The 14066-nt window shown below is 49.6% G+C and overlaps 1 protein-coding gene and 1 long non-coding RNA gene across 4 annotated transcripts in view, besides 8 other annotated features; one reads left to right on the top strand and one right to left on the bottom strand.

The window, feature by feature from the left end:
* Positions 1-4751, bottom strand: part of KDM2A (lysine demethylase 2A) — a 138820-nt gene extending 134069 nt beyond the window's left edge. For 2 of the 3 annotated variants that reach the window (NR_027473.2, NM_012308.3), the window contains exons 1-2: positions 3965-4751; positions 2656-2780 (exon numbers count right to left, since the gene is read on the bottom strand). Coding sequence is in view for 1 of the 3 variants with exons in the window: in NM_012308.3 (NP_036440.1) it covers positions 2656-2697 (42 nt within the window). In the remaining 2 variants the exon portion in view is untranslated. Of the gene's footprint in view, positions 1-2655; positions 2781-3964 lie in introns of those variants that run through there. The other variant, XM_017017391.2, reaches the window with a different exon arrangement.
* Positions 3610-3699: a silencer, noted in NCBI's record as "silent region_3618". NCBI's record gives its function as "represses an Ori minimal core promoter by ATAC-STARR-seq in GM12878 lymphoblastoid cells {active_cell/tissue: GM12878}" and the evidence as "EXISTENCE:reporter gene assay evidence [ECO:0000049][PMID:35858748]".
* Positions 4225-4364: a silencer, noted in NCBI's record as "silent region_3617". NCBI's record gives its function as "represses an Ori minimal core promoter by ATAC-STARR-seq in GM12878 lymphoblastoid cells {active_cell/tissue: GM12878}" and the evidence as "EXISTENCE:reporter gene assay evidence [ECO:0000049][PMID:35858748]".
* Positions 4545-4614: a silencer, noted in NCBI's record as "silent region_3616". NCBI's record gives its function as "represses an Ori minimal core promoter by ATAC-STARR-seq in GM12878 lymphoblastoid cells {active_cell/tissue: GM12878}" and the evidence as "EXISTENCE:reporter gene assay evidence [ECO:0000049][PMID:35858748]".
* Positions 4755-5194: a silencer, noted in NCBI's record as "silent region_3615". NCBI's record gives its function as "represses an Ori minimal core promoter by ATAC-STARR-seq in GM12878 lymphoblastoid cells {active_cell/tissue: GM12878}" and the evidence as "EXISTENCE:reporter gene assay evidence [ECO:0000049][PMID:35858748]".
* Positions 5265-5314: an enhancer, noted in NCBI's record as "active region_5072". NCBI's record gives its function as "activates an Ori minimal core promoter by ATAC-STARR-seq in GM12878 lymphoblastoid cells {active_cell/tissue: GM12878}" and the evidence as "EXISTENCE:reporter gene assay evidence [ECO:0000049][PMID:35858748]".
* Positions 5375-5654: a silencer, noted in NCBI's record as "silent region_3614". NCBI's record gives its function as "represses an Ori minimal core promoter by ATAC-STARR-seq in GM12878 lymphoblastoid cells {active_cell/tissue: GM12878}" and the evidence as "EXISTENCE:reporter gene assay evidence [ECO:0000049][PMID:35858748]".
* LOC107984341 (uncharacterized) lies at positions 5666-11722 on the top strand. Its single transcript, NR_160735.1, has 2 exons — positions 5666-6780; positions 11359-11722. It is a non-coding gene; the product is annotated as an uncharacterized LOC107984341 (long non-coding RNA).
* Positions 5795-5844: a silencer, noted in NCBI's record as "silent region_3613". NCBI's record gives its function as "represses an Ori minimal core promoter by ATAC-STARR-seq in GM12878 lymphoblastoid cells {active_cell/tissue: GM12878}" and the evidence as "EXISTENCE:reporter gene assay evidence [ECO:0000049][PMID:35858748]".
* Positions 6175-6224: a silencer, noted in NCBI's record as "silent region_3612". NCBI's record gives its function as "represses an Ori minimal core promoter by ATAC-STARR-seq in GM12878 lymphoblastoid cells {active_cell/tissue: GM12878}" and the evidence as "EXISTENCE:reporter gene assay evidence [ECO:0000049][PMID:35858748]".
* Positions 11723-14066: the final 2344 nt, after the last annotated feature.

Here is a 14066-nt window from a genome sequence, read left to right as displayed (position 1 = left end):
CAAACCAACAAACAAACAACAACAACAAAACCCAAAAGTCCAGGTCCAGTGGCTCATGCCTGTAATCTCAGCACTTTGGGAGGCCAAGACAGGCGGATCATCTGAGGTCAGGAGTTCGAGACCAGCCTGGCCAACAAGGTGAAACTCAGTCTTTACTAAAAATACAAAAATCAGCCAGGTGTGGTGGTAGGCACCTGTAATCTCAGCTACTCGGGAAGCTGAGACAAGAGAATCACTTGAACCCAGGAGGAAGAGGTTGCAGTAAGCAGAGATAGTGCCATTGGACACCAGCCTGGGTGACAAGAGTGAAACTCCGTCTCAAAAAAAAAAAACAGTTAAAAGTTTTGCTTGCTGGAAAGGCTCTTCCTTTAAAGTCTGGACTGCAAAATTCCTTAGATACCTAACTAACAACTTGACATGATAAAAGTGAATTCCATATAGCAATAACTACCTGGGAAAGGAGTTTTATGGCATCATCTCTTTTTCTGTTCCCAAAGAAAAGTTAAATTCAAGAAATGTAAAAATAAAAATAAATCCCAACGATACAATATTCTACTACAGATATGCTTAATTTCTACAAAGTTAGAGATAAAGAATTATAATCTCAACACATGAACTGGGAACAAGACAAATCTCTGAAATTAGGCTCACCGGAATATATGCATGCTGAATATATACTTCCCAATACACACCAAACCTTTCTAGCAGTCACAAAAAAAAAAAAAAAAAAAAAAAAAAGCCAGGTACTGTGGCTCACGCTTGTTAATCCCAGCACTTTGGGATGCCAAGGTGGGAGGATCGCTTGAGGCCAGGAGTTCAAGACTAGGGTGGGCAACATAGCAAGACCCCGTCACTAAGAAAAAAAAAAGTCTGAAAATTACCCTGGCATGGTGGCACACGCCTGTAGTCCCAGCTACTCAGGAGGCTGGAATGGAAGATTGCTTGAGCCCAGGAATTTGAGGCTACAGTGAGTTATGATCACATCACTGAACGTCACCCTGGGCAGAGCAAGATCCTGTCTATAAAAATAAAAATAAAAGGCCAGATGCAGTGGCTCACACCTGTAATCCCAGCACTTTGGGTGGCCGAGGCGGGCAGATCACAAGGTCAGGAGATCGAGACCATCCTGGCTAACACAGTGAAACCCCGTCTCTACTAAAAGTACAAAAAATTAGCTGGGCGTAGTGGTGGGCGCCGATAGTCCCAGCTACTCGGGAGGCTGAGGCAGGAGAATGGTGTGAACCCAGGAGGCGGAGCGTGCAGTGAGCAGAGATTGCGCCACTGCACTCCAGCCTGGGCAACAGAGCCAGACTCTGTCTCAAAAAATAAATAAATAAATAAATAAATAAATAAATAAATAAATAAATAAAAATAAATAAAAAATAGGCCATGGCCAGGCGCGGTGGCTCACGTCTGTAATCCCAGCACTTTGGGAGGCCAAGGTGGGTGGATCATGAGGTCAGATCGAGATCATCCTGGCCAACATGGTAAAACCCTGTTCTCTACTAAAAATACAAAAATTAGCTGGACGTGGTGGCACATGCCTACAGTCCCAGCTACTTGCAAGGCTGAGGCAGGAGGATCACTTGAACCCAGGAGGTGGAGGCTGCGGTGAGCTCAGATCACGCCACTGCACTCCAAGCGTGGGCGACAGAGTGAGACTCAATCTCAATAAAAATAAATAAATAATAAAGAAGTCTCTTCTCAAAAAGAGTAAGGATCACTAGAAAATGTATTCGAGAACCATTCTTTTTCTCCTAAATTCAGTCTAAAATGCAGAGCCAAATAAAACCACCATAAATTCCTTTAGTAATCTTCTAGGCCTTTCAGGTCAGCAAATTTCACATACTACATACAATTCTGTCGCTTTCCTCATAGCCCACTCTTCAAACACAAATTCAGATTTTTATTAATACTGTGAGACTACTAATAAAGCTCTCTTTGGCTAAGAAAAACAAAAATTGAATTCTTAAAACTCCAATAGGGAAACCTTACGAGGAAAGCATGGCTTAAAGGATCCAAGTGTTCATATACAGATATAAGCCAATCCTTTCAAATCATGTCTAAAATTTCTTTCAACAAGATCTATCTCGTACATTCCTCCCAAAACACAGAACTTTATCAGCATCCAGTATTCTACCTACTTGTCTTCAATCAATCCCAACAACCCTTCAAAGCTACCAAAATGTTAATTTATAAAATAAAAGAAAATAATCCATAGTTCTCCCCGCTCAAAGTCACAAATCCTGGGACAACAAAATCTTAAAAAACGTATTGAACTATCCTTCCTCAAACAGCTTTGCCCCCAAAATTTATATTCTAATCTAACGTAATCAGATGTATTACAATGTCAGTACTGTAAAATCAGGAATCTTTGTCACATTGTAATCCACAAAATCCTTTGGTATACAATGGTTTCTATAAAAGCTAAAGGCTACATATAACTCCATTTCCAAACAAGATAAATATATAAAATATAAAACATGTTTGGCCAAAAGCCAAATTCGATATTAATACACCTTTCCCCCTCCTCTGGTGCACAGAAAAGTCACCCGAAAAGTTTTAATCACAGATTCACAGTATATTCACAACTGGAAACAAAATAGTTATCCTACTTTAAAACTGGAGGGTGTGGTGGGGGGAGAAAATACTAACCAATCTCTGGCTGTAACGAATCCTTTCTTCTTCGGGTTCCATCTCTCACTCTTCTGTTGAAATTACTGTAAAGAAACCACTCCAGGGCTGCCTTCCTCTTCCTCCTTAGGAACCAGATTGCAACACTAAAGAATAATGATATAAGCAGAAATGAGAACTCATTCTCAAACTTGTGCTTTCTGTTCACGGAAAGGAGTATTTAAGGTAAGTGTTAAAGGCTCTCTGAAAAATCAGGTTCCTCTTCATGAGTTTGGGACCTTTCTGCTCTTGGGCAAGTGGTTCCATGTCATGTTCAACATTAATCACATTACAACTGTCGGAGGCCTAGACGAAACGAGATGTTGGTTTCAGTTCCTTGTGGAAGGGCCACACCACCAGTTTCTCCCCACAGGATTACAACTAGCAAGGATCTCCTTCATGGCAGCATCAGCAAGAAAAAAAAAAAGCCCAGGACTTTTATCTCCAGAGAGCTGACCAGGTGAAGCACCACTGAACTAATCCAGATCCTAACCAAATTAGTTCTCTCTCACCGGTAATCAGAAACTAAAGGAAAGAAGGGCAAACTGACTATGTAAAAAGAGGACAAAAAATTAGGATTTAAATGACCCCAAAACAATTTCCCATACCCCTCCTGTAAGGCCGTGCACAATCGTCGCCTTCCTTTCTAGACTCCCCGGATCTTATCATTCCCAAATCTACCCTCCACCCCAACACAAGATGTGCACAACTCTGAAACAAATTTCAGAGGTGCAAATCAAGGACCAAAATTCCATCTGATCTTTTTGGATAAAGTAATAAAATAAACGATTGCATCTAAGGATACAAGGAAAATACATCTTGTCCAAAAATTAAATAAAAGACCGGCCGGCGCGACGGTCAATCCGTAATACCAAGAAAGGGTTTTCTTTTTTCTAAATATTCTCGTGGATAATGGCTTCCATTGAGAACACAGGTTCCCCCCGTTTTTGTCACTACATTACAGCCACGTTAACAGCATCCTTTCAAAACTGCTACGAGACCAGAGGACCCGATGACACAGTTTGCAGAGCAGTTAGAGGCAGAGCCCTCCCGGAGGAAGCCCTGGCCCGAAGTCGGGAGGGAAACCGTGCTTGCACCCCCTGGGCGACGACCGCCTGGGCATGGAGCAGCCAGGGCCGGAGAGGAAAAAGGGCGAATCTCGCTGGGCTCCCCCAGGAAAAGGCGTTTCAATGGTTCACCCATCGGAAAAAGAGATAGAAACTTTGCATTCAGTCTTTGGATAACACAGTCAACCAAACTTCCAAATGAGGGGGGGGAGGGGGAAACTCACCGGAGATTCTGCTCTTGAGTTCTTGTCCAAGTGAGAAGTAAAAGATTCCAAAGCTGAGAGGAATAATTAAATCCCAAACGTCGTCTTCGGTTTTTCCGTGGATCAACCCAGTATCCAGAGAGGGTCAGAGCGACCAGGAAAAGGGAGCAAACAGTTGCTGAATCAAACCTTCTCTTCTGGCTTTGGAGACCGGGAGTCGGAGGCGTCAGGAGAGAGGAGCGCGACCCCTCGGCGCCGAGCCCGGGGCGCCCCCGCCTCCCCCAGGCCAGCGGTCAGCAGCCCGGGCCCGAGCCCCGGGCCGGCCCCGGCCGCAGGGAGCGCCCTCCTCGCCGTGCCCTCGGCCAGCAGGGGCTGGTCGCCTGCGGGAGCAGCGGCCGATCAGCTGAGACCGGCCGGCCCGAGGCTCCCCGCGCCGCCCCGGCCCCCCGGAACGCGGGCCCCGGCCCCGGGGGGCGGACAGGGCGGGAGCGGCGCGGCGCGCCGGGATGGGGGCCCTGGCTCCCCTCGCGTCTCCCCCTCAGGTCTGGCTCCGCGCTGCGGGACGAGCCCCCCGGCTACTCCCCAGTCGCAGAAGAGGGATTCCGGGGGATGGGCCCCCTGGCGTTGCCCCTCCTCCCGGAGCGTCCCCTGCCCAGGAAAGACAGAGCGGCCACGGGCCCAGCCGCTGGGAAGGTGCTCCGAGAGCCGCCGCCGCCGCCGCCGCTGCCGGGGAGGGGTGTTGTTTCCCTCACACAGGAGGAGCCGCTGAAGCAGCCGCCGCCATTTTGAACCCGTCAGACTCTCACATACACACAGCTCCTCCGAGGCGCACTGCGCAGGCGCCACCTCCCCACCCCTCCTCCAGCTCGCCTCTCCACCCCCCCACCCCCTTCAGGCCTCCCTGCGCTTCTTACCGCTCTCCCGGGCGCGCGTGAACGCGCACGCGTCACTCCCCTCTAACGCGGACACACCGCCGGCGCGCGCACGCGCGGATGCGTCGGCCTCGAATCGCCCGCGCCCCGCGACGCCGACGCGGCTCCCTGCGCCCCCTCGCGTCAGGCCGCCCGCCCTCCCTCCCTCCCGCCAGCCCGCCGCCCCCGCTCCCCGTCGGCGTTCTTCCAGGGCTCGGGCCTGGCTGGCTGCTCGCGCCTGCGCGCAGGGCACCGATCCTCCTCCGCGCGCCCTCCCCCCACACACCCTCACACACACTTCGCCTCTGCGACCCCGCCCCTCGCGGCCAGCTGTGCTGGCCGCCCTCCCCCACCCCCCTGGGAGGGTGGTGACCCCCGACCCCCCACAAAGCACATCACCCCCCCCAAGCAGTGGGAGATCTGCGTCCCCTTCCCCTTCAACCGCCTTTGGCCCCAGGCTGCCCGTCACAGTCACACAACCTGAGGGCCGGGAGGCCTGGGCCAGGGCAACCGATACCCGCCTCAAAGCAGGGTCTCCCGGGGTCAAGCCGCCGGGCTGGGCCCGCGGGACCTGGGCTCCCGGCTCAGGCCTGCCCAGGGCGAGAGGGCGCAGGGAAGGGGCGCATGGCCGCCGGCTGCCCTCCCTTCGCGTGCCGGCCGGTGGGCCGAGGCCGGCTTGCCCGCCATTCCCGGGCAGGCCCCGGCGCCGCCGCCACGGGGCCCGTCTGCCCTGGGCCCGGGGGCTCCTCGGTGCAGCGGCCTGGCCCCGCCTCACCCACTGCTCGTCGCTCCGAAGGGGCAGGAAACAGGAGTAGCATGTCTGTCCTGGGCTCGGCTCCCCGGGGGTGCTGCAGGCGCTTAACAAGGGCGTCCACAGGTACCAGGCGCAGAAGCGGTCTCCGCGACGGCCCGGGGGCGGTGGCGGCCGGCGCGCCCACCGCCGGCCGGAGGCGCCCGGCGAGGTGGCCCAGGAAGCCCCCGCTCCTCGGCCACGCTCAGCTTTCCGCCGCGCCGGTGCCCCCGGCGGCCCGGGTGGGACGTGACCCCGCCCCCGGCGAGTCGGGGCGCCCCCCACGGAGGGGTGCGCGGGCCGCCCCCGGCCCCCGGCCCGACCCTGCCGCCCTGGGCCGTGGCGGGCGCGGGAGGCCCGGCCGGGAAGATGTCTCCTGTTGGTGCGCGCAGCTTCGCGCGGGGGTCAGCGACGGGGCAGCAGCCGCCCGAGCTGCGCCGGCCCTGCCCACGGACCGACTCCCGCGGCCCGACAGCTGCCCGACGGGCCAGCAGGCTCCGAACGTCGACGGAGCCCGGCCGGAGGTACCCGAGCAGTGCCATGCGAGCAGCCCAGCCGCGATCCGGGCATTTCCCCAGCCAATCTCTTGCTCTGGGGCCCGTTTAAATTCTAAATCCCACAAAGGACGGTGGCTGGGGCGTTACACATCGGGGTTGGCACTATTGGCTCCACTACGCCCTTGCTGAGCGGTGTCACACAAATCTTTTTCTCCCTGCCTTGGTTTCCCACTCTTTAAGCTCTGACTCCTGGAAGCAGGGAATGGAGCAGAGAGGTAGGGCATGGAGTGAATCATATAACCTGCATAAACAGCCATCAACTCTTTCAGGAGGACGTTAGCGAGACAATTAAAATAATGATACCTTCTAATTCTATCAAGGCTTGAACTCCAAGGTAAAAGCGCTACGTAAATGCAAGGTATTATTATTTATTACCACAGAAGGTTTTTCTGCATGCACAACTTGGGGAGTTTGTACAGACATTCTCTGCTTTGTTTCACAACATCCTTAGGAGACAAGCTAAAGTGCCTGTTAGCGCTATATTCATTTTAAAGATAGACAACTGAAGTATAGAAAGGTTAAAGAGCTTGCATAATTACTCCAACAGCCGACTGAAACATCTCACAAACAGCAAAAAAGGTTTGTTAATAAGATATCATCTTCTTGCGTTCTAGTCACTGGGAAATATTCTTTATTTTGATACCAGTTTTGTTCAGACTTCTTAGATTTTCAGAGCACTGATACGAAGAAGATAATCACAGAAACTGTATCAGATCTAAAGCCTCTTTAAATCTTTCCGACTATGGTAAAGTATATTTTAAAAGCAGCAGTCTCTCACACTGGTGCTACCAGATATGGCCCCATAAGCATCTGGCTCTCTGTAGTTATAGAAAAAGTCAGCAGCTCGTTTTGTTTGTTTTTTAAGCAGGAGAGAAAGCTTTTGCCATTGTCAGATTAAGTGTTGGGCCTTGTTGCTATTTGCAAAATAAACAGCTTTATTTCCTTCCCACTCACCCTTATAACCCAGGGAATACTTGGCGGCAAAGAGAAAGTCTCTAGGAGTAGCTCAACTTGGTCTTGCCCTTTTTCTTAACATTCAGACCCCCTTAAGTAATTAACCCTCAAGGAGGTGAGTTGCACACCCTTGGCAATCAGATACCTCCAAGTTTAATTCAGATGGGCATGCTGGGAGAACCCTAGAAAGGCTTTAGAACAGGCCGGGCGCGGTGGCTCACGCCTGTAATCCCAGCACTTTGGGAGGCCAAGGCAGGTGGATCACCTGAGGTCAGGCGTTCAAGACCAGCCTGGCCAACATGGCAAAACCCTGTCTCTACTAAAAAAAAAATACAAAATTAGCCGGGCGTGGTGGTGCATGCCTATAATCCCAGTTACATGGGAGGCTGAGGCAGGAGAATCACTTGAATGCAAGAGGTGGAGGTTGCAGTGAGCCGAGATGGCGCCATTGCACTCCAGCTTGGGCTACAGAGTGAGACTCCATCTCCCCGCCCCCCCCCCAAAAAAAGGCTCTAGAACAATAATAGTAGTACTTATTTTGAATGGGACTGCCAGTAGAGCAAGATTTGTCAGATTGCAGCCAGCTCTTTTGCCGTAGGAAACCATTTGTTAACTAGTCTGCGTTGGGGGAACGGGACATTTAAACAGATATACACAATGGTTTCTCCACAGGCAGGCTTTGTTAATAATCCAGAGCAGATATATAGGGTGAGATAAGAGGTAGACAGATGGCTAGTGATTCCTCCCGCCATCACAGTGGCTCTGATTGGCAAGGACAGATCTGTGAGGCTGCATTGCCCTAAAACAGCCATTTGCAGGGAGAATAGAGCTTGGGGGATTCCCCAACTATGAACTCTCTGGCTTCAACCCTGACAATGGTATATGGGAAGAAGGAAATAAAAATGCATTCTAGAGGCATTGAGAACAGGGTCCCTGGCTGGAATAAATTGGCATCTTAATAAGATATTAATAAATCACTGCCTTTTTGAGCAAAGCTAAGACTCAACAAATGCTGAGAGTGAAAATCCAGTCACCATTTTCTTTTCTCTTATTTTCTCTTCTTTTCTTTTTTTGGGATGGAGTTTTGCTCTTGTTGCCCAGGCTGGAGTGCAGTGGCTCAATCTTGGCTCACTGCAACCTTCACCTCCTGGGTTCAAGCAATTCTCCCGCCTCAGCCTCCAAGTAGCTGGGATTACAGGCGTCCGCCACCACGCCCGGCCCACCCATTTCTTTTGGGAGACTTTAGGGTGTGAAAAGAGAACTCTTTAGTCTGGTTAAGCTAAACTATTTCCAATTTCTCCTTAAATGTTAAGGAGGAAGTAAAGATGTCCCAAACAGTGTAGGTCTAAACTAAAATAGAGAAGTTGGTTGTGAAGGTTCCCCAGGAGGTAGCATAATCAGTGGCTAAAAAGCTTTGGCCGGGCGCCATGGCTCACGCCTGTAATCCCAGCACTTTGGGAGGCCGAGGCAGGCGGATCATGAGGTCAGGAGTTTGAGACCAGCCTGGCCAACATAGTGAAACCCCGTCTCTACTACAAATACAAAAAATAGCTGAGCATTGTAGTCCCTGCCTGTAATCCCAGCCACTCAGGAGGCTGAGGCAGGAGAACCGTTTGAACCAGGGAGGCGGAGGTTGCAGGGAGCCGAGATCGCGCCACTGCACTCCAGCCTGGGCAACAGAGGGAGACTCCGTCTCAAAAAAAAACAAACAAAAAAAGAGACTGAGGTGGAGGATTGCTGGAGCCCAGGAGTTGGACTATGAACTATGACTATGCCACTGCACTTCAGCCTGAGTGACAGTGAAACCATGTCTCTAAAAAAAAAAAAAAAAAAAAAAAAGAAGGGAAGGAAGGTTTTAAGTAAAGATGCTTCAATATTTAAGAAACTTGAAGTTTTCATGTGAGTCAAGAGTTTGCATAGACATTAAGTGTGATGACTTATTCCTCGATTCTCTTCCCCCTCCCTTTTTTTTTTTTTTTTTTTTTTGAGACAGTCTCACCGTGTCACCCAGCCTGGAGTGCAATGGCATGATCTTGGCTCGCTGCAACCTCCACCTCCCGGGTACAAGCAATTCTCCTGCCTCAGCTTCCTGAGAAGTTGGGATTACAAGCACCCGCCACCATGCCTGGCTAATTTTTGTGTTTTTAGTAGAGACAGGGTTTCACCATGTTGGCCAGGCTGGTCTCAAACTCCCTGTCTCAGGTGATCCGCCCCCCTCTGCCTCCCAAAGTGCTGGGATAACAGGCATGAGCCACCACACCCGGCCCTCTTCCCTATCCTAACTCCTGGTTTCTCTCCCCGACCCCCGACCCTGGTGTCTCCGCTTTCTATTCTTCCCTCTTCCCTGACTCCAGCTGCCTCTTTCTCCTCATCACCTGCCTCCTGAAGTCTCTTTCTTTCCAGCCTTCTCTCCATCATTTGGCCCACCCCCTCCTCCATGTTCATCTCACTCTCCTGGCCCAGTATCATCTGACTGAATGGCTTTCCCACTTTCCTTTACCATCCATTTGTTGCCCTTAATCACCTCAATCCCGTGCTCTCTGATTTTGTTACTTAACCATTTCCTGAACATCTCCCTCCACCCGCACCCCCCACCCCGGGAAAAAAGAAAAAAAGAAAGAAAACTTCTTCTAGGGTTAAAGGGTGTTGGGGGGTGATTATAAGCTTTAAGTGATAGAAAGTTTTCTTTTTTTTCTTTTTTTGAGTTGGAGTCTCGCTCTGTTGCCCAGGCTAGAGTGCAGTGGCGCGATCTCAGCTCACTGCAAACTCCACCTCCTGGGTTCAAGCGATTCACCTGTCTCAGCCTCCTGAGTAGCTGGAATTACAGGTGCCCGCCACCGTGCCTGGCTAATTTTTGTATTTTTAGTAGAGACGGGGTTTCACCATGTTGGCCAGGCTGGTCTCGAATTCCTGACCTGGTGATCCACCCACCTCCGCCTCCCAAAGTGCTGGGATTACAGCCGTGAGCCACCACGCCCAGCTGAAAGTTTTCTTTCTTTTTTCTTTTCTTTTCTTTTTTTTTTTTTTTTGAGTTTGGAACCTGAATTGATCAGGGGGAAAAAAATGAAGCAGAAATGCCCTGCAGATTCTTGGATCATCAAACATGGGTGTCACATGAGGTTCTTGCATGGAATGTGGCTGACGCTTTCCTTGGGACCATGGGACCACCACCCTCCCTGGCCCCATGCTTCCTTGCTGCCATCTTTTCCAGGTATGTCACCTTCCGCTGTGCAGACCCACTGCTCCTGAGCGCTGGGGTGTACTTTGGCTGTTGGGGCAACTGCAGCAGTGTCTGGGCCCCACCTGCTCTTTAGCAGCCTTAGCTTCGCTTTGGGGCCAGGCCACCCTCATTTCTCACTTCTAAAAGGGTGGGACTTCCTGCTGTGCCCGAGAGTGGAGCTCTAAGATGCAGAGCCTGTGCCTCAGCTACACCTGTGCTTGCTGGGGGAAGTTTCTGGCACCCTGGGGTTTCAGGGTCTGTTTGCAACCTTGCACTAGATTCCCAGCTTGGGTTGGTGGTGACAGTCATACAGGGCTCCAGCCACTTCCCCAAAGGGCCAAATGCTTAAGCACTTAGACCTGTTTAGCCCCTCCCAATGAGTCTGATCTTTTTTTATCTTCTTCAAGGGCATTCGCTACCTTTCATCAGTTTCTGCTAAAGCTGGTGTTCCTTCAGCCACTTTGTGAGAGGTTCTGAACCCGTCAGAACTTCAGTTCTCTTTAATAAAACAGAGTAGGCTGGGCGCGGTGGCTTAAGCCTGTAATCCCAGCACTTTGGGAGACCAAGGCGGGCAGATCACCTGAGGTCAGGAGTTCAAGACCAGCCTGGGCAACATTGTGAAACCCTATCTCTACTAAAAATACAAAAATTAGCTGGGCGCGGTGGCACATGCCTGTATTCCCAGCTACTCGGGAGGCTGAGGTAGGAGAATCACTTAAGCCTGGGAGGCAGGCGGAGGTTGCAGTGAGCCCGAGATCGTGCCACTGCACTCTAGCCTGGGCAACAGAGCAAGACTCTGTCTCAAAAAAATATATATTATATATAATATATGTATATAAATATATATAATATATATAAAACATAATACATGTATATAAATATATATAATATATATAAAACATATATTTAAAACATATATATTTTATATATATAATGTATATAAATAAAACAGAAGTAGTGACTCCTGCCCTGTTTCCTCCTAGGATTGTTGTGGAGTGAAATGGACTAATGGACATGAATACCCTTTGGAAACTAGAAGACAACTTATTTTAGAAAGGATTTCTGAGGTCTTGCACAGTGCCTCATGCCTGTAATCCCAGCACTTTGGGAGGCCAAGGTGGGCAGATCACCTGAGGTTGGGAGTTCGAGACCAGCCTGACCAACATGGAGAAACCCCATGTCTACTAAAAATACAAAATTAGCTGGGCATGGTGGCACATGCCTGTAATCACAGCTACTTGGGAGGCTGAGACAGGAGAATCACTTGAACCCGGGAGGCAGAGGTTGCAGTGACCCGAAATCGCGCTTTTGCACTCCAGCCTGGACAACAAGAGTGAAACTCCATCTCAAAAAAAAAAAGAAAAAAAAAGGATTTCTGGTTTTCCTATTTTTAAAAAATTTTTTACTTGGTAATTTTTTTTTTCATAGAAACAGGGTCTCACTATGTTCCCCAGGCTGGTCTCGAACTCCTGGCCTCATGTGATACTCCTGCCTTGACCTCCCAAAGTGCCTGGGATTACAGGCATGAGCCACTGCACCTGGCCAGTTCTCCTATTTTAAATTTATTTTTATTTTATTGTGGTAAGAACACTTGATGTGAGATTTACCATTTTAACAAAGTTTTAAGTGTACAATGCATTGTCCAGTTTCTTTTTCTCCTACATGTAGGATTTGGGTACTTACTGAGTACACTGTGCCCAATGCTAAATTAAGTGCTTGGATAGAGAAAGGAGATTTGAAAAGTTAGAAGGCTTGACTTTTACCTTCGAAAACTTCATATCGAAGAAAGGACACCATGAAGATGTGACATACTCAGAGAACAATCATCATTCCAATGAATTGCTGGAAGATCATTTAGACCATAAGAACTGGTCTTCAAATTGCACTTGGATATAAGCCCCGTGGGGCAGGAAGTTTTGTTCATTGCTGGATTCCCCAATGCCTAGAACAGTGCCAGGCATAGTTGGCACTCATTCCTTCATATTTATTGAATCAGCCAATAAAGTAGTGCAGTGTTGCTTTTGAGGGAAGGAATATGAAGGCTGGAGAGCATTGAATCCTTGCAGAGAAGCTTGGTTTTGTGAGAGCAAGAGAGGCACATATGTTCTGGAGCAGAGAAGGTTGATGTAATAGTAATTGTTGCAGAGAAACTGTTCCTGCAGCTGTCATTGCAGCTGGAATAGAAGTGATAGAAACCAAATCCTGTACTACTGCAAACCAAGCCAGGAGGTATGTGAATCTTGGGCCAAGTTCTTCACTGTCTTTTTATTCCAGCTCCTCTTGTGATCTTGTCTTTCTGCTCCACTTACCTCTACTGTCTCCAGTTTAGGATGTTGACTTTAGAGTCCACGTCACAGTGCAACTTTTTTTATTTTGTTTTGTTTTTAGACAGGGTCTTGCTCTGGCACCCAGGCTAGAGTGCAGTGGTGCACTCTCAGCTCACTGCAGTCTCCACCTCCCAGGCTCAGGTGATCAGTCTTCCCACCTCAGCCTCCTGAATAGCTGGGACTACAGGCACATGCCACCACACCTGGCTAATTTTTGTATTTGGATTTTTAGTAGAGATGGGTTTTTGCCCTGTTGCCCTGGCTGGTCTCCAAATCCTGGTCTCAAGCTATTGGCCTGCCTCCCAAAGTGCTAGGATTACAGGCATGAGCCACTGCACGTGGCCACAAGATTTTTTTTTTTTGAGACGTAGTATCGCTCCATTGCTTGGACTGCAGTGCACTAGCGTGATCTCGGCTCACCACAGCCTCCACTTCCCAGATTCAAGCGATTCTCCTGCCTCAGCCTCCCGAGTAGCTGGGATTACAGGCGCCCACCACCATGCTCAGCTAATTTTTTGTATTTTTAGTAGAGACGTGGTTTCTCCATGTTGGTCAGGCTGGTCTCGAACTCCTGACCTCCTGCCTCAGCCTGCCAAAATCCTGGGATTACAGGCATGAGCCACCACACCTGGACTTCTTTTTTTTTGAGATGGTGTCTTGCTCTGTTGCCCAGGCTGGAGTGCAGTGGCATGATCCCGGCTCACTGCAACCTCCGCCTCCCAGGTTCAAGAGATTCTCCTGCCTCAGCCTCCCAAGTAGCTGGGACTGCAGGCACTTACCACCATGCCTGGCTCATTTTTGTATTTTCAGTAGAGACAGGGTTTCACCATGTTGGCCAGGCTGGTATCAAACTCCTGACCTCAGATGATCTGCCTGCCTCGGCCTCCCAAAGTGCTAGGATTACAGGAGTGAGCCACTGCTCCCGCTCGTTTTTGGTGTTTTTTTTTGAGACAAGGTCTTGCTCTGTTGCCCAGACTGGAGTACAGTGGAGTAATCTCGGCTCACTGTAATCTCTGCCTCCTGGGTTCAAGCGATTCTCCTGCCTCAGCCTCCCAAGTAGCAGGGATTACAGTTGCACACCACCGCACCCGGCTAATTTTTGTATTTTTAGTAGAAACAGGGTTTTACCATGTTGGCCAGGCTGGTCTCAAACTCCTGACCTCAAGTGTTCTGCCCACCTTGGCCTCCGAAAGTGCTGGGATTACAGGCATGAGCCACCGCGCCCAGACAGGAGTGCAGCTTTTGATGTGATATTATAAGCTTAATATCTCCAATCAATTATTTTTCATTATATCTCTTTAATTATAATGTACATTATATTTAAACAGTGTAACTTTAAAATGACAATATTGTTTTTTCCCCCA

This window comes from Homo sapiens, chromosome 11 (assembly GCF_000001405.40).
Source record: "Homo sapiens chromosome 11, GRCh38.p14 Primary Assembly".
Classification (NCBI taxonomy): domain Eukaryota; kingdom Metazoa; phylum Chordata; class Mammalia; order Primates; family Hominidae; genus Homo; species Homo sapiens.
Note: the sequence above shows the minus strand (reverse complement) of the source record. Positions and strands in the feature narration are given on the sequence as shown.